Source organism: Homo sapiens, chromosome 14, assembly GCF_000001405.40.
Source record: "Homo sapiens chromosome 14, GRCh38.p14 Primary Assembly".
Classification (NCBI taxonomy): Eukaryota; Metazoa; Chordata; class Mammalia; order Primates; family Hominidae; genus Homo; species Homo sapiens.
Genome location: NC_000014.9, coordinates 54,648,607 through 54,669,930, shown reverse-complemented (window position 1 = coordinate 54,669,930; position 21,324 = coordinate 54,648,607). Strand labels below are relative to the sequence as shown.

At 43.1% G+C, this 21,324-nt stretch overlaps 1 protein-coding gene and 1 long non-coding RNA gene across 17 annotated transcripts in view, besides 4 other annotated features; both read right to left on the bottom strand.

Moving 5' to 3' along the window:
• Positions 1 to 21,324, bottom strand: part of SAMD4A (sterile alpha motif domain containing 4A) — a 228,000-nt gene that overhangs the window by 123,385 nt on the left and 83,291 nt on the right. The gene's annotated exons all lie outside the window — the stretch shown is intronic.
• LOC112268133 (uncharacterized) overlaps positions 1,277 to 21,324 on the bottom strand; it is a 64,608-nt gene continuing 44,560 nt past the window's right edge. The window contains exon 2 of the long non-coding RNA XR_002957606.2: positions 1,277 to 21,324. This exon is cut by the window's right edge and continues 39,108 nt beyond it. This is a non-coding gene — a long non-coding RNA (uncharacterized LOC112268133).
• Positions 3,685 to 3,734: an enhancer, noted in NCBI's record as "active region_8414". NCBI's record gives its function as "activates an Ori minimal core promoter by ATAC-STARR-seq in GM12878 lymphoblastoid cells {active_cell/tissue: GM12878}" and the evidence as "EXISTENCE:reporter gene assay evidence [ECO:0000049][PMID:35858748]".
• Positions 16,235 to 16,971: an enhancer, noted in NCBI's record as "H3K27ac hESC enhancer chr14:55119678-55120414 (GRCh37/hg19 assembly coordinates)". NCBI's record gives its function as "activates a minimal SCP1, AML or CMV promoter by ChIP-STARR-seq in naive H9 embryonic stem cells {active_cell/tissue: H9 hESC(naive)}" and the evidence as "EXISTENCE:reporter gene assay evidence [ECO:0000049][PMID:30033119]".
• Positions 18,551 to 19,157: an enhancer, noted in NCBI's record as "H3K27ac hESC enhancer chr14:55117492-55118098 (GRCh37/hg19 assembly coordinates)". NCBI's record gives its function as "activates a minimal SCP1, AML or CMV promoter by ChIP-STARR-seq in primed H9 embryonic stem cells {active_cell/tissue: H9 hESC(primed)}" and the evidence as "EXISTENCE:reporter gene assay evidence [ECO:0000049][PMID:30033119]".
• Positions 19,158 to 19,765: an enhancer, noted in NCBI's record as "NANOG-H3K27ac hESC enhancer chr14:55116884-55117491 (GRCh37/hg19 assembly coordinates)". NCBI's record gives its function as "activates a minimal SCP1, AML or CMV promoter by ChIP-STARR-seq in primed H9 embryonic stem cells {active_cell/tissue: H9 hESC(primed)}" and the evidence as "EXISTENCE:reporter gene assay evidence [ECO:0000049][PMID:30033119]".

Below are 21,324 nucleotides of genomic sequence, written 5' to 3'. Positions count from 1 at the left end.
GGGAATCCCTCAAAACGCAGCATACACTTAAACATGATTCAGCTCTGATTCATAGAATCTGGAATATTATTCGATTCACTCCGGGATTCTTGGTGCAAAGCGTTCCCTGCATGCTGGCAACGTCATCTTTCCATGCTACTAAGCGACAGACAACTTTCTTTAACATGCTCTGAAGCTCACAATATGTTTAAGACAGACTTTTCTGTGTGTGAGAGAAAAGAGGTGCTAATTATAGGCAGGAACAGCAATACCTAGTGGGGGCCTAGTTAAAAACCAACACCAACAGTGGACTAAAGAAAGGAGTGCTAGCCGGGCGTAGTGGTGCACGCCTGTGGTCCTAGCTACTTGGGAGGCTGAGGCAGGAGGACTGCTTGAGCCTAGGAGTTCAGGGCTGCAGTGAGCGATGATCGCACCACTGCACTCCAGCCAGCCTGGGCAACAGAGTGCGATCCTGTCTCTCTCTAAAAAAAAAAAAAAAAAAAAAAGAAAGAAGCGTTGCTTCTAAAAATAAAGCTCTCCTTAAATATTCTTTATCAGCTTGTTTCAGCCAAACTTGACACATTCGGTACACATTTCAACCCTGTGACTTTTTTCTTTCCTGAGCATTCCGTGGAAAGCAGGTGCTCAGGGAGAGCCTCCAAGGAGGACAGCAGCAGCTTCCCCTTCTCTAACGGGCTCCAGGCTGGGGCATGTGAACCACTGAACAGTACCTTAGCTGTGTCTCCTCTAATGAGTAGGATGTAAGGGAGAAAATGTGGGTCAAGGGTTCAGAGAGCTTCATGATGATCCAAGCTGTAGCTACTGACTCCACAGCCCTGTGGCTGCGCCTCCTTCTCCCACGAATGGCTTAATGGTGGTATTTCTCCTCAATTTAAATTAAAGGAAGATAAAGCATGGTAGCCTAACCTAAATGTCCTCTGCTCTATGGCCTCGGGCACTGATTGGAGGTTCAGCCTTCTTTGTGAACATTTCAGAGTTCCCTGTCTGTCATTCCTTCTTGACCCTGCAGAGTGATATGGTGGAGAGAGAAGAACATGGACTCAGGAGTCAGACTCCCTGGCTTCACACCCAACTGTGTCACTCACCAGCTTTGTGACTTTAGGCAAGTTACTTAACCTCTCTTGCCTCGGTCTCCTCACCTGTAAAATAGAGATGATGAGAATAGTATCTATGTCATAAGGATGTTATAGGAAGAAAACCAGAAGGGGGATTAAATTAAAACAGTAAGTGCCACATAGGTGTTAACTAGCATTTTTTTTCCTTCCTATCTTCTTTCTTTTCCTTGGTTTCTACAAATGTTTATTGAATATCCACTAGCTAATACAAATAAATACAGACAGGATGTAGTCTTTGCCCAAGTAAGGACAGAGATAGAAAGCTACAGTAGAAAAAATCACCAGTCTGGCATTTGGGGAAACTGGACGCTGGTCCCAATACTGTCATTAACCCCTCTGTGGCTTTCTCACCTGTAAACTCCAAGATCCTTTTAGGGGATCTTGACAAATAGAAAATAAGTTCACTGCCAGGCCTCACATATCATGCCATCTGAGCGATTCTATGATAAGTACCCCCTAAACTCCAAGGGGAGAGAAATGGCTTCGAGTTGGGCCAGTCCTAGAAGGCATCAGAGACCCAGAATTTGTGCTCGGCCCTCGAGGATGGCTTGGAGATTGGGAGATGGAGGTGAAGAGAGGCTGTTTCAAGTAGAGGAAAGGTACTGTGCAAAGGCACAAGTTGTATGTAGGAACTAGGCCACAGAACATGGGGCTGTATCTGAGAACTGGTTTTGGGAAAGCAGGAGGGACAAAAACTCACAAGGTCAACTTGTAGAGGGCTGGTGTGTTATAAAACAATGGGCAGTTTTTGAGGCGGAAATCCGATCAGAACGGCAGTGTGTGGAGATGCATCTGGTGGCAGCCTGCGGGAGGGCCGGGGTGGAGAGAACAGCTGGAAGACAACTGTGCCAGGAAGGCATGAGAAACAGAGGGTGAGGCCCTCAGGGCTCCCGAGGCAGGCAGGCCCACCACTGAACAGCTGTCCAGTCTGGGGCGCTCACGTAACCTCTCTTGTCCACAGTTCTCTCCATTTAAAAAGAAGACAACATAAGCAAAGGCTAAGCATGAATGCATGGTGTGTGGTAAAGACTCAGTAAGCAGGACCCAGAAAATAAAGTAAAGGGTGTGAGATAAGCTGTGATTGAAAAATTACTATCCACCTGAGTTACTGGTGAAACAAATTGCACATGACAGCAAGAGAGAGAAGGGTTCCACAGAGCCGTCCCCACAAGTCACTCGCCCTGGGTGACAGGGAGAAGGCAACAGAGAGGCTGGTGATCCCAGGTGAATAGCAGGATGTGGAAGAATGACATTTGCCTCTCCTTGGCTCTTCAATGAGATGACCCAGGGTAACTGGACACTGTGGCTGACTGTCCTGGTCACCATGTGTAACAAAGGCACAGACACAGGACAGAGCAAAGCCAATGCCTTCCCTGTACCTGGAACTTTGACCTACAAACATGGAGACCCCTAGGGAAGAAAAGAGAAGTTCCACCCTCAAACTTTCAGCTCAAAGCCACCAATCATGGATACCATCACATCTCATAAAGACACAGTAAGCATTATCATTTCCATTTTCAAGATAAGGATATTGAGCTGAGGTCACTTGCAGAGTTGGTAACAGCTGAACCCTGAGCTAACGACTTTGTCTTGCACTTGAAAACCTGTTTCTCTCCCAGCTGTCTCTTAGGGCTGTTTTCCCCTCAACCAGCCCTCACAAGCTGACCTAAAATTGCTCTGCAAAATACAAGAGCGTGAAATTAAAAATTAAATAGGTGCTTCTGCATCTATTTAAATCCCATTTATTTTTAATAGCTACTGAGGTTAGGCCTTGCACAAAAGGTGAGAAGTTGGTTTAAATCTCGATTTCTTTCTTGGTGGACTAGTAAAATATTGTCATTCTGCTCAAGTGAAGAAAAGGACCACCAAAAATGTTACACTTATTTAACTTTTCTTAAAACTAAGAGTCCATCTCCTGGGCACTTTCTTCCAGGGTCTTAAGCTCCCATGATTTGACAGTGTTTGGTTTGCTAGCTTGTGCCATTCCTCCAACATTTGGGGGTACCTATGTGTCTATAGGCTTATGGTAATCAAAGGGTTAATGCTCCCTGTCAATTGCACAAAAATTCCCATCCTAAATGGGAATCATTTGTCTTCTCAGTTAAGTGTCTCTGACAATACATGCTATTTATAAGCTGATGGCATCTGGCTCAGAATGGGAGCTAATACAATTATAATCAAAATAATAATATAAATTGGTTAGCAGGAGAATGGCCAGGATAAGCAAAAACAATTACAGTTGACTCTTGAACAAGGGTTTGAAATGCGCAGGGCCACTTATACTCGGATTTATTCAACCAAACACAGATTGAAAATACCGTGTTTGCAGGACATGAAATCCACACATATGGAGGGCCGACTTTTCCTATAGGTGGGTTCTGCAGGGCCAACTGAAGCACTTCAGTATGTATGGATATGGGTATCCAGGGGGTCCCAGAGCCAATACCCTGGTGTATATGGAGGGACAACTGTATGTCACTAAGCCTGCCCTAATATGGAAGTAATGAGGAATATCAGGCCACTAATCAAGACGCCCACACAGGCATTGTTTTAAATCCATGTAGCTTTGCTATATCCAGTACTTCCTCTGGGTCCCTCCTTCCACTGATCTTGGGGCCCTCTCTTCACCTCAGTGGCCCAGAACACTTCTGGGATTTCCCCACAATCATGTGCTTCTTCTTATGCCTCATTCCCATAGCTGGGGTGACACCCTGTCAGTCCTGCTTGGTCAAGGATGGCTTAGAGTCTCTTGCCAGACAATCTAAGAACCAAAAAGTCTCTCTTTTACTAGGTTTTACCTGAACAACATAGAAGCAATTTGTCTCTTAAACACTCTCCCTGAGCTTTGGGGTTCACATCCTGCCCATTTGTGTCTCTTTATTATCAGAACAGAAAATCCATGACTGTATTATTGCTAAACGTAAGGAAAATGGGGTTTCAGGTTGAGACAAGCCCCTTTCTTTCAAAAGCCTGAAACATCAGGCAGGTAGTTATCTTATCTGTTCTGGGTTTAAGTCAGCACATTTTAGTTATTCTAGACCCAGAAAATCCTCAGAAATCAGGGTTCATTAGGGATGGTTAGAGAAGATGGAGATGGATGACTATCAATCAGGAATTAATGAGGATTGAGGAAATCCAACCAATTCTACCTGGAGATCTCTGTGGCCATTCATCTTTCCCACCATCTGCTCTGAATTTGGATCTATGCCCTGACAGGCAAAAGACAAATCTATCCTTCTTAAAAGTCCACTCAGGTAAAATGTCATTAAATTGTGGTATTGTCCAGAACTGCAGAGAGGAACATTTCTTTTCTAGTTAATCCAGTAGCCATCAGTTGCTCCCCATTAACTTGAAAGAAGCATCTAGTTTATGCTCTAGAATAAAACACCTCACATCTATCCAAATTAAACCCTGAAGAGCTATAACTGAAATGAAGGACAGTCTCTTGTTTATTGGAGGTGGGTGGATTCCTGTTTTCTCACAAAGTTCATGTTCCGGCATACTTATCTTTGGGATCTGCATTCCCTGGGTGAATAGGAATCCAATGATCATACCTGTTTTATGATTTTAAGCATTCCACATTAGCCTTAATTATAGCACATTCATATGGCTTTTATTGTTAAAGATAACAATCACCTCACTGTAAAATGTTATTCTTCCTGAGGGTTCTCAAATACCTCTGTTAACATGTTCCAGTATCTACAGGCACTCTCACATTTTTTCCTGCAGTTGTTTGTGCTCCACTATAGAATCTAGACACGACACAGAGACAGAGGAAGGTCTTTGCAAAATGTTTTTGGACCAAAGAGAACAGAAAACAACTTAAAACACACTGTATTTTAGGACACTTCAAATAAGATTTGTTTCACTACAACCTGATCTCACTTTAGGAGAAATAAGTGTTTTCCTGAACTATCTAATGTTAAGTCACACTTTAAAAAATTAAAGCTTATTATTTTAAGGAAGTGTGTGTGTGTGTGTGTGTGTGTGTGTGTGTGTGTGTGTTGGATTCACATAATTAAACATATTTAAAACTTTTTAAAGCCAAAGATCAGATCTTCCATGGAACAAGTACTTTGAAATATACTCTGTTGGTCAACTCCAAATGGTTTCTCCCTGTTTATTTCAGAGTCACATCATAGGAGCATTAAGTTCTTTGAACTCAACTACATTGCTTAGGGAGTAAGAAGGAGAGAGAAGAAGAGAGGGGGTGGGGGACAGGAGGAAGAGAAGGAAGTGGGGAGAGAGGGAGGAAGTGCATTTGTGAGAAAGTGTAAAGATGGTTCTGCCCAGTTTCCCTCAATTGGTCTGTGTCCCGATGAGCATGTCAAGGGCGATGTGTGTCTGCGCGCTCCTCAGCCTGGCTCAGTTCTCTGGTAACCTGTTGAGTGACAGCATCTTTATATGCTCATTAGACAGGTATACTTTATACAACGCAGCCGGCTGCCGCCCCTACAAAAGACATCCTTAATCCAAACTATAAGTGTATACTCATCTCAAACTTGGTAGAAGTACAGGGGCCATGCCTTATCTTTGAAGATGGGTCCACTGTCTGGAATTCCTAATTATCTTTCCTGTATAAACCAGGAAATTTGCTATGATTTTCAGGTTCTCTTTCTTTAAAGAAGAGAAAAAAAACCCAAAGGCAACTGAAAAGCCATCTGACCACAGAATCTGCCTAGATTTTTGACTTTCTCCTCAATCTTTTAGAGTTATCTTGTTTGTATTTAATTTGGCCTCAATTTATTTTTTAGCAAATTCATCATTAACAAGTCTTTTCAAGGCAACAATATAATTTTCGAGACAGCTCTCCTTCTCCCACTCATATTTCATTTGTTTAAACGTTACTTAGCTACATGTCTTAGAATAAGTACAACTGGCATACTTAGGTTTGGGAGCACATACTCTCAACAGGCCCCCAACTGAGCTGATGGGATGGGTGGGATGGCTCACTGGAGAGCAGCCCATTAACTGACTGCCATAGATAGAGGTTGGTGCGCTCATTCACAGGGAAGAGAGAGAACATGTTAACTGGCAGATGGATTAAGTGAGCTCCCACAGTACCTCCCCTAGGTTCAACCAAAGAAAGAGCTAATTATCTATTCCAATAATGTAGGGGAAAAAATGACCACGTGAGACCTAACAGTCTCTAACCTGCTGCCTTTCTAGGGATTGGAAGAGTAATTTTGTTTGCTCAGTTTTTGTCTCACTGACTATTGGATAAATCCCCTCCTAAGGTGCAGTACAATGCTACAAATAGGACAGAAAAAAAAGTAGTCAAGCTAAGTAGAGAAAAATTATAAGGAAGAATGTATACTTACCTGACGGAACTCATGCTTCATGTGGTGCGAAGGTTCACGTTGTGTCTTAAGATCTTTTGACTAAAAAACTTTAATCCCTCAAGTTCAGGCTGGGTTGAAAAATCAGCTTAGTTGCCTTGGTTCAGTACTTTAGACCGCGGTCTATCATTTTACTCATTATTGCTACTCTATAGGGCTTGGATAAAAATACTTGGATGAAAAGTATCTGAGGTTGGATCCGCTCTCAATGTCAAGCACAAGTTAGCTAATTCCACCTTGAAACATTTGCATCTGTGAGGGATGGTATATTTAATGGAACTTTATTTAGCTCTTACATTTTGTTTATTTATAATTTATTATTTACATCCTGTCAACTTCCATGAAGGATTTGAGGCAGCTTAGCTCTTCAGTTAAGCCCATTCTTAATCAGTTTCAGTCACTTCTCTCTCATCCTGTTATGTCCAACTTCAATGGAGTAGTTTCCCCAGTGTGATTAATTAACTTGGACCCCTGTGGTCTGGGACTTCCACTGTGCAACAAAGGCTGTACGTCTGCAGAGTCTGTGACCTTTGGTTTACTGCCCAGTGCAGGGAGCAGCCCAGCAGCACAGGAAACCCTGGCAGAACTTCCCAGGGCATCCCCTTTGGTGTCCAAGACCTCTCTGGGGGTCAACGTGGGGTGTGCAGACCGTGTAGGAATCGCAGGGCCATAGCAGCCCCACACCCTGTGCTGAGGGAGCCAAAGGTGGCCACAAGGACCCTCCCTTGTGACGGATGTAAGACATCAATAAGTGTCCCACTCAGGCTGGGTGCAGTGGCTCAGGAAGTAATCCCAGCACTTTGGGAGGCGGAGGCAAGTAGATCACTTGAGGTCAGGAGTTCAAGAACAGCTTGGTCAACATGGTGAAACCCTGTCTCTACTAAAAAAAAAATACAAAAGTTACCCAGGTGTGGGGGCATGCACCTGTAGTCCCAGTTACTTGGGAGGCTGAGGCATGAGAATCGCTTGAACCTGGGAGGTGGAGGTTGCAGTGAGCTGAGATAGTGCCACTGCACTCCAGCCTGGGCAACAAAGCAAGACTCCGTCTCAGGAAAAAAAAAATGAAAAAAAAAAAAAATAAGTGTCCCATCCAGTAGGAGTCTCTCTGCCAATAAGTACAATAATCATACACTCTTTAATGTGAAACAAGAGAAAGGCACAGCCTCAATCTCAGCTCCCTGTGGACCTCTATCCCTTCAAGTCTCATCTAAATGGAGCAAAATATCCACAGGTGTTATTTCAATCTGCCATTGATCTCTGGGCTGACTAGGTCATCTACCTTAACTATGCTGGAGTTTTCCATCTGTAACTAAGCGATCAAAACCCCTTCCAGAGAGAGACATGTTTGAAGAACTTCAGGTGAGAGCTCCCACATGTAGCTGCAGTAAAAAGGCCCTGAGTGTCCCTGTGTCTGAGAGTCACCTCTACCTGCCAAATCTGATCACCTTCTCTGGCTCCCAGCCCCTTGCTCTTGGCTCTTCTTTGTGTGAATGGCGGCTGCCAATCTCAATACCTGCTCAACATATTTTTTTTTTTCCAGATAGTGGATAAAGCACTGCTTTCAAGCATATATTCCTGTTACCTAGCCTGCACACCTGTGAGTTCTGCTCTCTCAGATGATAAGCATTCGGCACCTGGTAAACAATTGTTAATGTAAAGGGCTGTCCTCAGAACAGAGATGCTTCAGGCCATGTAGAGGTGTTTCTCCAGTAGTGGGGATGGGTTTGGGGCAAGTCATCCACACGCTCCCACTAACCTTTTTGCAACAAACATCAGATATCCGGGAATAGTCGGCTGAATCTCTGGGTGTGATCTGTGACTGTGGAATAGTCACAAAGCCAACTTGCATGCACAAAGAAGGAATCCATGACCCACACTAGAAGGTTCGATAAGGATTGAGGTTAATGCACAGACCACAGATCCAAATGCTGGCATTAACTAGGACGGGAACTATCTTCACAGAATAGGAGACTCTGGAATAGCAGATTCCTCAAGGGTCTACTTTAGGGGCTTGCTTTAATCTGCTAATTAGCCCTCTGTTCTAACCAACTGACTAACCAATCACAGACTTATAAATACAGCAGGCATACCAGGGGCACAGCTTCGAACTCTTTGGGAATAAAAAGGCATCAAAGAAATCTATAGAATCCACATTATGTATCTAAAATATAGGTATGAAAAAGAATTTTTGTTCTGTATTATGTTAATCTAATAAGTCAAGGTAAGTAAAGTTATATCATTGTCCTAGATATAAAAATGCATGTGGACCAAAAGATGAGATTTGAATCACACTTTTCTATTTATAAAGCACTTCTAAAATTCTTAAAGCTACTTTATGATCTTGCTTGACAGATAAGGAAATTGAGGCTTGGAAAAAACAAGTGATTTGCCCGAGGTCAAGAACTTCGGTGTTCTGACTTAAAGTCCGCAGTGCCTTTCACTCTATTATGTTCACACCATTCATGAAACAGGACTTCACTGATCAAGTCCATAGGTGGAAAAACCCTCCAGAGAACTAAAAAGATGCCTGAATAGTGTATGATTAACTGGCTTCCCTGAGCTCTCAATGCAATGATTACACACAGAAATTCAGATGTTAACAGGCAAACAATTCTGTGGCTGACAGGACTGGAGGGATATGCTTGGATACCAAGTCTAATGGAAGCCATCCAAAGTTGTTGGTGGAAAATTATGCACGGATCTCACTTTGTAAAATAGCTGTGTAAATGTGGTTCAAGGGGGCTGCTGTTAAAACACATAATCAGATTCTAGACAGTCTCTCTCTTTTTTTTTAAACTTTCAAGTTGATGTCTTCTCCAGTCCTTCCATCCAGAGCACAGCAAATGTCAAAGTCAGCCAAGCTGGCAAATGAGTTGTGATGACTGGATTCTTCACCACTGGTAGCATCAAGAAAGTCTGTCTCCAGTCTTTCCTGACCTGTCATCCTCCTCTTCTGGAAACTCAAAGCTCCTTGGACTCCTGCTCCCCACAAGGGGATAAGTGTCCCATCAGTATTAGGGGAAACTTTCTCTTTGCACACTGAAGTGACTTTGTGACAAAACTTTATGCTGGGGCAAATGGACCTCCAGAGAAGCGGATGGTTGAGTGACAACTGCCTGGGCTGGCTTATGTCCCTGGCCCATTACTCTCTGGGACAAGCTACCCTACCTAGCTTCTCAGAGGATTCTTGGTTTCCTCAATTAAAATATGGAGAAAATAAAAATAATGCCTACTTCCCATGTTCCTATGAGGATGAAAGGAAATAAGGCAAGTTGTGAACAACACAGCACCGTAGAAAGAAGACTTTAGGTATCATTGATGTCTGGGAGATTAGATACACCAAACCCCTGAAACAAGAGAATGATGATTGACAAAAGGCCCTTTTTTTTTTTTTTCTGAGACGGAGTCTCGCTCTGTTGCCAAGCTAGAGTGCAGTGGGGCGATCTCGGCTCACTGCAACCTCCGCCTCCCGGGTTCACGCAATTTTCCTGCCTCAGCCTCCTGAGTAGCTGGGATTACAGGCATGCGCCACCATGCTCGGCTAATCAAAAGGCCTGTTTGACTTCTCCCTCGCCACCCAGCACCAAGCCCCCATGACCCACAGTGAGGACATCAGGCCATAGGCCACCAAAACTCTGTCTCTGGGTGTGCTATTGTACAGGGTTCTGAGGTTGGCCAGGTAATGTTGCAGCACAAGTAGTTTCCAAACTAAATTTCCAGAGTTCAGGGTTACCCCACACTCCAACAGCTGGGCTCCTTGGCTCTTCCCCCTCATTTTTAGGTTTCACATTATACCTCATGACTATCAGCACCTGAGGTTGGGGAGGAGACATATTCATCTACCTTTGTTCCCCCAAAGCATCACGTAGAATAACCACAGTAAATATTTGCTGAAGAATGAGACACAGGATGAGGAGTCATTTGATGACTGATTATTCATTGTCCAGGTAAAAGAAGGTTATGTAAGAGCAACAAATAATCAAAATCCCTCAGAAACCAAAAACAAAAAACCCACACTGCGAAACCAAACAAACCAAAAAGAGAGACAGACGGACATGTGTGTGCGTGCGCACGCACACACACACACAGAGCTCTGATAAGAATGAATGGATACCACCAAGGGAAGATGGCATATTGCTCAGGAACTGTGAGACTGAGTCCCCAACTATGATGTATTTCAAATGCATTCCACACCCATAGAGATTTTGATCTCATCAGTCCTCAAGCAGCCGAGCAAGACCCAGGATAGCTGGGTAACCCTAGTGTCTTCAACAAATGTTAGCCTGTGTCTGGGCATAAAAAAAGGCTGGGGAAACCTCTGTAAGGGACCAAGAAAACACATATCCTTTTAATATTACTAGCAGTCAGAAACAGGATATAGTACTGGATTCCAGGTTTTGTCTATTTCCTTCCTTGCCTGATTTCTTCCTTATGACATCAAGCCCTCAAGGGCCCTGTGAGCCAGGCATTCTTGATTTACAGGTGTGCAAACTGAATCTCAGAGAGGCCAGGTTACTTGGCCAGGTTATCCTGCCTAAGCACAAGCCTGGCCCTGATTCTTCTGCCCCCCACAAAGCGTGGAAAAGGTGCCCAGCCACGGGCATGCTCGAATCCTCAGCCTGACTTCTAATGAGTGACAATAGTAATACGAGGCTATGCAAGAGGGTGAAGAGTAAGGACGTTAGGATGGGAAATGAGTAGAGAGGCTTGGAGGAACACTGGGGAGATGGAATGACCCTCATTTGGAGACTCAGTGGACACGGTATTCGGAGAAGTTCCAAGGTGCTCAGCCAGAGTGACTGTGGGAATATCCCAGTGGCACAGAGAAGTCAATGACAGTGGCTGGGTAAGGAAGAGGCTCCTGTTGCACAAGTTGACTGTGATGAGGCCAGCTGGCTACTTGGAGCAGGATGTCAGACAAGCTTTTGGACATACGGGTCCCATGCTTAGGATGGGGGCCTAGCTAGAGGTGGGACTCAGTGGTCATTTGTTCAGAAAAGAAGGTCAAAATTTTGAGGCTGGCTGAGGCCCTGCAGGAGAATATAGCACAGCACCTGTCTTACAAGGGGGTCACTGAGCCAGTGTGAGGAGGTCTGGGTGGTCTGATACCTTGGCCTTACACAATTATTTGGAAAGCCAAATAGTTACATGCTCTTTTTATTTTTTGAGACACAGTTGTGCTCTGTCACCCAGGCTGGAGTGTGCTGGCACGATCTTGGCTCAATGCAACCTCCACCTCCTGGGTTCAAGCAATTCTCATGTCTCAGCCTCCCGAGTAGCTGGGATTATGGGCACCTGACACCACACCTGGCTAATTTTTATATTTTTTTGTGGTGACGGGGTTTCGCCATGTTGGCCAGGCTGGTCTCAAAGTCCTGACCTCAAGTGATCTGCCTGCCTCGACTTTCCCAAAGTGCTGGAATTACAGGCGTCAGCCACCACGGCCGGCCACATTCTCTTTTAAAACTTCTCTAACATCTACTTCGTGGAGTTCAATTCATGAACATTCTTGACTACAAGGTCCTAGAACCTAAAGTTGAGCTGCTCTGTGGCTGTTAAAGATATTTTCACACCTACAGAGCCTCAGATCCTGGGATAGATGGGATCTCACAAACAAGTAGTCTTTAGACTATCCAGGCCCAACAAATGCAAAGTAGACCCCAAATAGGACAGTCTCACCTCCAGAGGATTAGTGGAAGGGTGAGTGGCTCTTCATTGGCTGATGTGGACGGTCCCTATATGAAAATCTTAATTTCCACTTACACAGCACAGCTGACCCCTAGAAAGGAGACTGCTGGTCATTTTACATGGACCACATCACTGCAGAAGACCAGAGAGATGTCCATGCCTTAAGCAGAAAACCCAACACAGTCTTGACAACAGGATGCAATACTCTTTAGTAGAAAACCTTGACTGCAAAGCTGGAAACAGTCAGTGCTTCTAGCCTACTACCTCTTCTCTTCTCAGAAACTTAGCATCTGGTGGGAGAACCCTCTGACTTCTCATCTGGCGATGAACAAAAAAAATAAGTAAACAGCCCAATTACATCGTTAATTCTAGCTGGAGTGGAAAGTGATATAGGAGTCAAGGAATAAACACCTGTCCTTGAAGAGATGGGAAGGCAATAGAGCTTTAAGAAAAAATTCTTCGATGTAGGAATTGACAGTGTTACTTACAGAAGGAAAGTTTCAGCTGATTATCATTTTAAATTTCTCATTATGTCACAGATAGGTGGTAGATGGATTAATTTGCTTCAGTGGCCAAGGTACCTGGAATATTTTACAGTAGAATATTTTAATGGCCAATATTAACTGTAATTTATCACTGTGAGTTTAGTGAGGAAATTGAAAAATGATCATATTACAGGTGTTAGACATATCTACAGATAAGATGGAATGCATGCCTTCTACAAAAGGCATCCTGAATACCAGTCAATTTGCTATTGGCTTCCACTGTAAAATAGTTGTTTAGTTTCTCCGGCGGGGTGGGAGAGGAGAAATTAAAAAAAAAAAATCATGTCAGTGGTTTCTTTGCCCTATTGGTTTGGCAAAATATGAGAAATCACATAAAAAGCTTGTTTCATGGCTCACGCCTGTAATCCCAGCACTTTGAGAGGCCAAAGCGGGTGGATCACAAGGTCAGGAGATCGAGACCATCCTGTCTCCACTAAAAATACAAAAAATTAGCTGGGCATGGTGGCGGGCACCTGTAGTCCCAGCTACTTGGGAGGCTGAGGCAGGAGAATGGCGTAAACCCAGGAGATGGAGCTTGCAGTGAGCCGAGATCGCGCCACTGCCCTCCAGCCTGGGCAACACAGTGAGACTCCATCTCAAAAAACATACAATCAAACAAACAAAAAAACTAGTTTCAGAATCAGCTTTACTATTATTTGTGCAGCTTATTATTTTAAAGAACAACTGTGTAAGTATCTCGGCATCTTTCAGTATCTGGCAGACAGGTTGGTACTTGGTATATCAAGAGCCATGGGGCTTCTCTTGCCACTACTAAATAAGTCAAAGTTCAAACTCAAGGGGTAAAGGCCAAAAAAGGTGGTGACCTAGAAAGAGAAGCTGACATGGGTCCACATACCATGACCAGAAGCCTCTCCAAAGATGTGACATGGAGAGAGAAGCCTTTGATGGTTTCAGATCAAAGCGTCTCTCCATATGTCAACAAGGAATAGTCAACTCTAAATGTAATCATTAAAGAACAATCTAGACAGAGTGACACAGTTGGAAAATCCACTGAAACAATGAAGAATAACAAATGGAAACCATAGGTTAGTGGAGAGTGAATTCTACAGTAAGGAAAGTTAAAGGGTAAGACTCTAACCAATTCTGCCTGTCTGATTTGTGTTCGTTTTTCCACGTCCACCACAAAACTAGCTTCCTTGGTAATATTAGTAATAATATTAAGTATTATTTAACATTACATGTTAATATTTAATATTTATTGCCATTTATTATATGCCAAACACTATTTTAAGCACTTTCCATGTATTAACTCCTTTCCTCACCAAAACAAACCTATGTTTGTTCCTCACCAAAACTTAAGTTGTTCCTCACCAAAACAAACCTATGAGGCAAATATTATTATCCCCATTTACAGATGATAAAATGGTGGTGAAATAAGTTGCCCAATACCACAAAAGTAGTAAGAAGCAAGGCTTGAATTTGTACACAAGCATTCTGACTCCCGATCTATATTCTTTTTGTTTGTTTGTTTGTTTTTGTTTTTTGAGACTGAATTTCGCTCTTATTGCCCAGGCTGGAGTGCAATGGCATGATCTTGGCTCATCACAACCTCCACCTCCCAGATTCAAGGGATTCTCCTGCCTCAGCCTCCCGAGTAGCTGAGATTACAGGTATGCGCCACCATGCCCGGCTAATTTTTTTTTTTGTATTTTTAGTAGAGACGGGGTTTTTCCATGTTGGTCGGGCTGGTCTCGAACTCCCGACCTCAGGTGATCCGCCTGCCTCAGCCTCCCAAAGTGCTGGGATTACAGGCGTGAGCCACTGCGCCCGGCTCCTGGATCTATATTCTTAACCACTATGTTTTAATGTCTCTCAACAAAGAGAAAACAATGTCAATGAAGTAGAATGGGCTCTTCCTTAACTTGACTGGAATAAACTCAGTCAACCAACTGCCATTGCACTGATTCTGTGTTCCTCAAGGAAAGTGTGTGCCGTAATTGCCACCCTAGCATCCACTCCCTACCTCCAGCTGTGGGAAGGACATATGACTGGGAGGCAGACTGATCCATCAATGTGGTCTCTGAAAAAGCCTATCTTTCATCCGCAAAATAATGAGCTGATATTTTTGTTTATGGGGTAGCCTCCTGTGAGCTTGGACGTGTAAGTATTTCCAGGTCATCCATAAAATACATGATAAAAATCCAGCTTCAGATCTGCAAAGCTGAGGCTAAGATCCTAGTCTCCGATGAAAAAAGCCAAGGAAGAGCGGTGTCCCTTGAAATCCAACCTGAAATGGTCATCCAGCCTAATTTATGTCTCTGCTATATGGACTATCTAAGAGAATAAAAATCAACTCAATTTCCTGAGCACTGATGACATATGAGCCAGGCACTGATGTGCTGTCATTACGCCATCTTCCTCATGCACACTGCTCCTGGAAACAGGGGCAGGGATGCACCAACCATGGAGTGAAGGCTGGTGGTTCCCAAGTATCACAGACCAACACTGCTTCTGTGATAGAATTTTTGCTGACCTGTGGCTAAATAGGAAATATCTGGATAACACAGTACAAGTTTTTCCTGAAGCTACGTGTGTACAGAATAGAGGACTAGCCTTCATTCTGAGATTTTATTCTTCCTACTTCTGATTCTGAAGTGCCTGTTCTTTCATGAAAGGACTGTAACATTACATGACAATCTCAACATTGCTGTTTTTAATATCCTTACTTCTCAAGATCAAAGCTAAACACTATGTTAAACCTCCTCAATTAAAAACAATTTTTTTTAAATGGTTAGATCACAAAATCCTAGTGTGGGGTCACCGGCCCAGGGGGTTGCTATCCTAGGTTTTTCCTGACCTCAACCAGGGAGGGAGTTTCGCAAACAAAAAGACAATCCTAGCAGCCTGAATGTACCCTGTGCTGCTGCTGTCTTTCTTGCTAAGCTCCCATCTGACCTCCCGTGACTCCCTCAGTCCCCAGTGGCTACTACCAGTAGGAATTCCCTGTCCTTCCTGGCCAAGCTGACATGCTGGGCAGAGTTCAGGACACAGCTTTAAATGTGGTTTCCTGATTAAAAGGGAGACTCCAGTTAGACAGGAAAGAGCTCAAGCTTGGGTATTATATGTCATAGTCATCTACCGGTTCTGAGGAATGAATACGTCAACTGAAACGACTTGGAGCAAAACATAATTCCTGAGAAAATCCCTGAGAACCCAGCCGGAGACTCCTACCATTGTACTCCATCGTTTGTGTCTTCTTTTGGCAATAAAGTGACACACTGAAGACTCAGTTGCTCTAAAATACTTTCATACCGAATGGTATTTGCAAGGGCAAATGGTGGTTGGAAGAAATGAACACCAGGAAGCACCAGATGCAACATCTGTAAGATTCCCCGGCTAAGACAGAGGGCAGTAAGAGGAGAACCACATAGTGGGAAGGGGAAGATGGGGTGGCTGACTTGGTCCTGCCACTCCATTGCCTCAGAATCTTAGGGGAAGTCATTCTCAGGTCTTCTGCTTCCTCGCCTACAAAATAAAATGGCTGGTCATGCAAAAATCCTAAAATTCTGATCCAATTATTGCCTCAAGAGAAGCACAGCCTATTTTCATGTGTCAAGAAGGACAGTGAAAAACAATATTGAGAGGCTAGGCACGGTGGCTCATGTGTGTAGTCCCAGCACTTTGGGAGGTCAAGGTGGGTGGATCACTTGAGGTCAGGAGTTCAAGACCAGCCTGGCCAACATCGTGAAATCCTGTCTCTACTAAAAATACAAAAATTATCTGGGCGTCAGGGCGCACACCTGTAATCCCAGCTACTCAGGAGGCTGAGGCAGAAGAATTGCTTGAACCCGGGAGATGGAGGTTGCAGTGAGCAGAGATCATCACGCCACTGCACTCCACCCTGGGTGACAGGGCGAGACTCTGCCTCAAATAATAATAATAATAATAATAATAATAATAATAATAATAATAATAATAATATTAAGAGGAAGTCTTGAGGGCAAAGTTGAAAGTTCCTCAGGGGCCTCAAGGCCCTGCCTAGACATGAGTGAAAAACAGCTGAGCCCTGGAAACACCTCCGGGGTGTTCTTTGCAGGGTGAGCTTCCAACCAGAGTGCAGAAATACATGGCTGACAGCAAGGAAGAGAAGGTAAGAGGGAAAGAAGGAAACAGGAGAGAAAGAAATGTAGAAAAAGCAAAGGCCAGAAATAAGTGGGATCTTACAAGCAGCAGGGAGCACCCGAGAGGGCATGAATGAAGACAGGGCTACGTGAGGTTCATAGTGGACGGCTGGAGAGGCGGGGAGGAAAGAGAAGGCTCACAGAGGGAACTAGCAGACGAACAGAGAAAGAGCAAAAATGGAAGAAGAGAATCAGGATTCTCATTTCGAATAGAAATAGGATTACTTAACTCTCCCAATATCCATTCACCAAAACAGTTACCAAATGCGAGGTCTCGTGGCATCTTGCCAGCTGTGTCTCCATGAAGAGTCCGAGATTAAGTAGAGAAAACCCACACTCTTAAAGGGAACAATATAGTACCATTTTCTGCTGTGTGAACACAGATGCAGCCCATCTGTACGCAGATACGAAAGGAAAAAACTGCACAAAGGGTCTGTAACCTTTAAAAAAAAAAAGATTCTGGGTGAGGCTATCCAGAAATAGAACATTTTGATTACAAAATAAAAACTAGGTCAATAAGATAATGGACGTGATTTAAATGAAAATCACAGTATTTGTAATGGGCTAAAAATGGTATCAATGTTACTGCAGAGAAGGAATATAATTAAATGTATTTTTAAACAGCAGCTCCCCGCCCCAGTCCTACAAGTCCCAGGCCAGCCACCAGTATTCCTCCACCTCATCGGAGAGGAATGTGCTGGCATGCCGCAAGTTGGTCTGAAGAATGTGGAGTTTCCGTACTACTTCAGAAGATCCCAAATGACACTGGTTAGCTACATTCTTTCGCTTTTAGATCACTGTTATTCATTTATAAAGCAAAGGAATGGAAAGGCTAGGGATTTGACCATATAAATCTCTTTTGCCATTTTTACTATATGGCCAGGAAACACACAAATGCAGATATAACTGCCATGATTCCCAGGCTACTGAAACAAGATTTTGGGAGAATTCTAGATGGTTATGTGAGGTGGATGTAGATAGATCCTAAAAGGCTTAAGCATGGGCTAGGAATTAAGATAAAGGGCAGAAGTGCAAAGTTCTGGTGTGCTTTCTACAACTTGTGGTCTGATCTTCTGGAGAAACACTAACTCTTGAGTATAATTCATCTTCTAAACCCTCCCTTGGAAAAGAGGGGCAAAGAGGAGCAAGATAAATTAAACCTAAAGGATACGGTCCTGGATGGTTTACAATTACCAAAGTAGGTACAAGAAACTTGCCACAGCATTTCCTCAGATGTCTATATAAGAGTCATGGCCAAGGAGTCTATGATGAAACAACAATGGCCCTTCCAAATTTGGGATGCCTTCGGGGGCAAATGGAAATCAGTGAGACGTTATCTATGATGAATACATCACTACTTTGGCTCATATATATCATTCCTTTATTAAAGGAAATTGCATCGACATTTATACCCTGAAAATCTCAAATAAAATATGCACATGATTACATATAAATATTAATCATTCAAAAGAGGTTATTCTAAAAATCTCTTGTGGGTAGTGCATATTTACTAGTAAGTTCTTGAAATGAATTAACTCTTTAATATGTTTAAATTCCAACATATGACCCATTAGTTGCAAAGCACTCATTCATCCTTAGAAAGTATAAGTTTACCTCCCATGAAGCAAATCTGTTAAATGACAACAAAACTTGTCAAACAAAAGAGAAGAGACTTATTCACTGTATGAAATCACTAATGTCATGCTGAACTCCCTAAGTGCAATTAAGTGTGTTTGTGTAATATCATTAAGTTAGTGCCCACATCACCTCGTCTTTACTTGGTGCATTACAATAAAAGGTATTTCAATAAACAGCAAGTTGACAGACACCATAACCATGCGTTTCTTCTGAGACTTAAGGAGCACCAAAGCCCTGGAATTCTGAGTCGAGTAAAAGAAGTCACTACAATAGGTCTTGAGGAATTCTAAACCAAGAGAAAGACCAAAGAGCTCAGGATCATCTGAGCTCCTCCTGACACTTTCAGACCGTGCTTATTTACAGTTCCTCACTATCACCAGGGCATCTAAACCATGAAGTGAAAATAGTGAAGAAATGTGTGGCAAGGGTCACTGCAGACCAGGGAACCTCTGCGAATATCCAGAAAGTGAGGTGCTCAGTTTTCTGAAGAAAAGCATTCAGTTGATATATATTTTTAAAACTCTGACCTTTCACGACCTCAGTTTGGAGACCTCGGTAGGGATGAAAGAAAATAACTAAAAGGTCAAGCAAGTAAAGAACGCTGAAAGAATGCTCAGTGCAAGCATACAACGTGGGGCACGCCTCTGTTCCGTGAGTCTGGTGGGAAAAAATAGATTATTTATAGGGAAAGGGAAACAAGATGACAGAATAAGCTCTTGACAAAGAGGAGAAAAGCTTATGTTGGGAAAATCTGGGTGGGAGGGAAAGGCACTGGAGTCATTTGCACTATCACGGGATGGAACTGGTCTAGCAGTGACTTTGGCATATTTTGGCTTCTCAGCAGGGAAGAACCAGTTGGGGGCTGGGGAAACCAGTGTTTTCTGGAGAAAGAGAAACAGCTGCTTAAGCACGAGTGTCTGAAGGAAGTCCTGTTCCCTACTGCCAACCCACGAGGCATGACCACAGTCCAGTCGCAGGAGCTGCTATAACAAGATGACAAGGAGGCAAGACTGATTCACTACTGATTAATGCCTGTTGATCTTCAACAATGGGCCATTCCAACAAATGCAAGAAAGGAAAAATCACTAGCCAATAACATGGGGATCCTATCCTATAAACAGAAAGGAATCCCATGGAAAGAATTCTAATTTTATCTATTTAAGCAACTATTGGTTACTCATGCAGGTTCAGAAACAGAGGGGACTATGAGTCAATAAATGATGTAAAGGTTTATCAACAATATGTAAATCCTCTATCTCAAGTCTTTTATCAGAATTGCCAACAAGTTGTGAGTCTGATCAATTTAATTTCTTTTCATTCACTTTCTTTCTGTTGACTTTGGCAGGTAAGGATCAGTGAATTAGAGGAGGTAAGTGGAATTCAAGAAAATACGCTCTGGAATATGTATTCCCTTACGGTTCTTCAAAAGCCCTTATCTTGCCCTAGTGGTATATCATAAGTCAGTAACAATAACAGAAAATCTTGTTTTTTTAAAAGTAAACATTCCAATGCCTAAAAGTCTAAGTAGACTAAGAACAAATGCCAAATAAACCCAAGATGTGCCATTTTAATGGGAAAATATGAAATATGACATGTAAATAGAAATCCCACATTTATAAAAGCAGGCAAATGATTGTGTGACAAATACTTACAGGCAAATGAGAAAAATTAGAAAAAGTTCCTCCTTCTAAAATAATCTTTTTACAGCATACAATTCTCTTAAATTCTGACACTTATGCCTGCTTGCAAAAACAATTTCAGTCAACACTTCCCACTGTGTTATTCAACCCCAAGGCATGCAATTTTTATTAAATGGCCCCAAAATACATTCATGCACAAGGAGCAGGCACCAATTGACTTGCGACACGACAAAGTCATCCTATAGCTTGACTTCTACCCAGTTGCTATGTCGTCAGGTACTAAACCTCAAATACTCTGTGGCCCACTCCTTCTCTCCTTCTTGTTCCCAAAGCCTCTAAGTGTGGGATTCTTTCCAGTGATCACCACCCCACACGATGCACATCCCTTCGAAAGATAGCTTTGCAGCTTCAACGACAGTATAAGCAGAATGGCGTGTTTCTCTCCTGGGTCAACTCCTCCATTCCACAACAGGATCTTGCAACTTCCCACTCCCTAAAACCTCTGTCTCACTCTTGAATACTTTTGTCATTTAGCTTCTCTTCCTCTTCTGGCTCCTTCCTTCCTTTAAAAATCTTCCTTTAAAAATAAGTCACAACTCACCAAATCATGAGACAGCTCCAGGATCACATGTTCAAATCCTACTCGACAGCCTCACTAGGACATCTAACGGGCATGTCTAGCTTATGTCCAAAACTTTATCTTGTTTGGAAACCTGGTACTCATTCAGTGTTCCCATCTCAGTCAATGATACCACTCAGTTGCTCAGGACAAAACTTTGGAATCATCCTCAACTCCCCTCTTTCTCTCACACCACACATCTCATTCAACAACAAATCCAGGCGACTCTGCCTTCACAATTTATCCAGAATCCAACCACTTGTCTCCACAGCTGCCACTGCTATCCTGTCTGAGCCACCGCCTCTCCCACCTGGTGTACTGAAACAACCTAAATGAACCCCCACCTCCTCACTTACTCTTTCATTACTCTCTGTGCCGCATTCAGAGTGGTCATTTTCAAGGGTCAATGAAGCGCCTTCATTCTCCTTCTCAACTCTTCCAGAGACTTCCCATCACATCTAGAACATAACCCAAAGTTTTACACGACCCACACAGCTCCTGGTAGCCCCAGAGCCTACAAGGTTACCTCTCCAACTTCATTTCCTACCACACTCTGCCTTGTTCAATCCATTCCAGTCACACTGACTCTACTATTTTT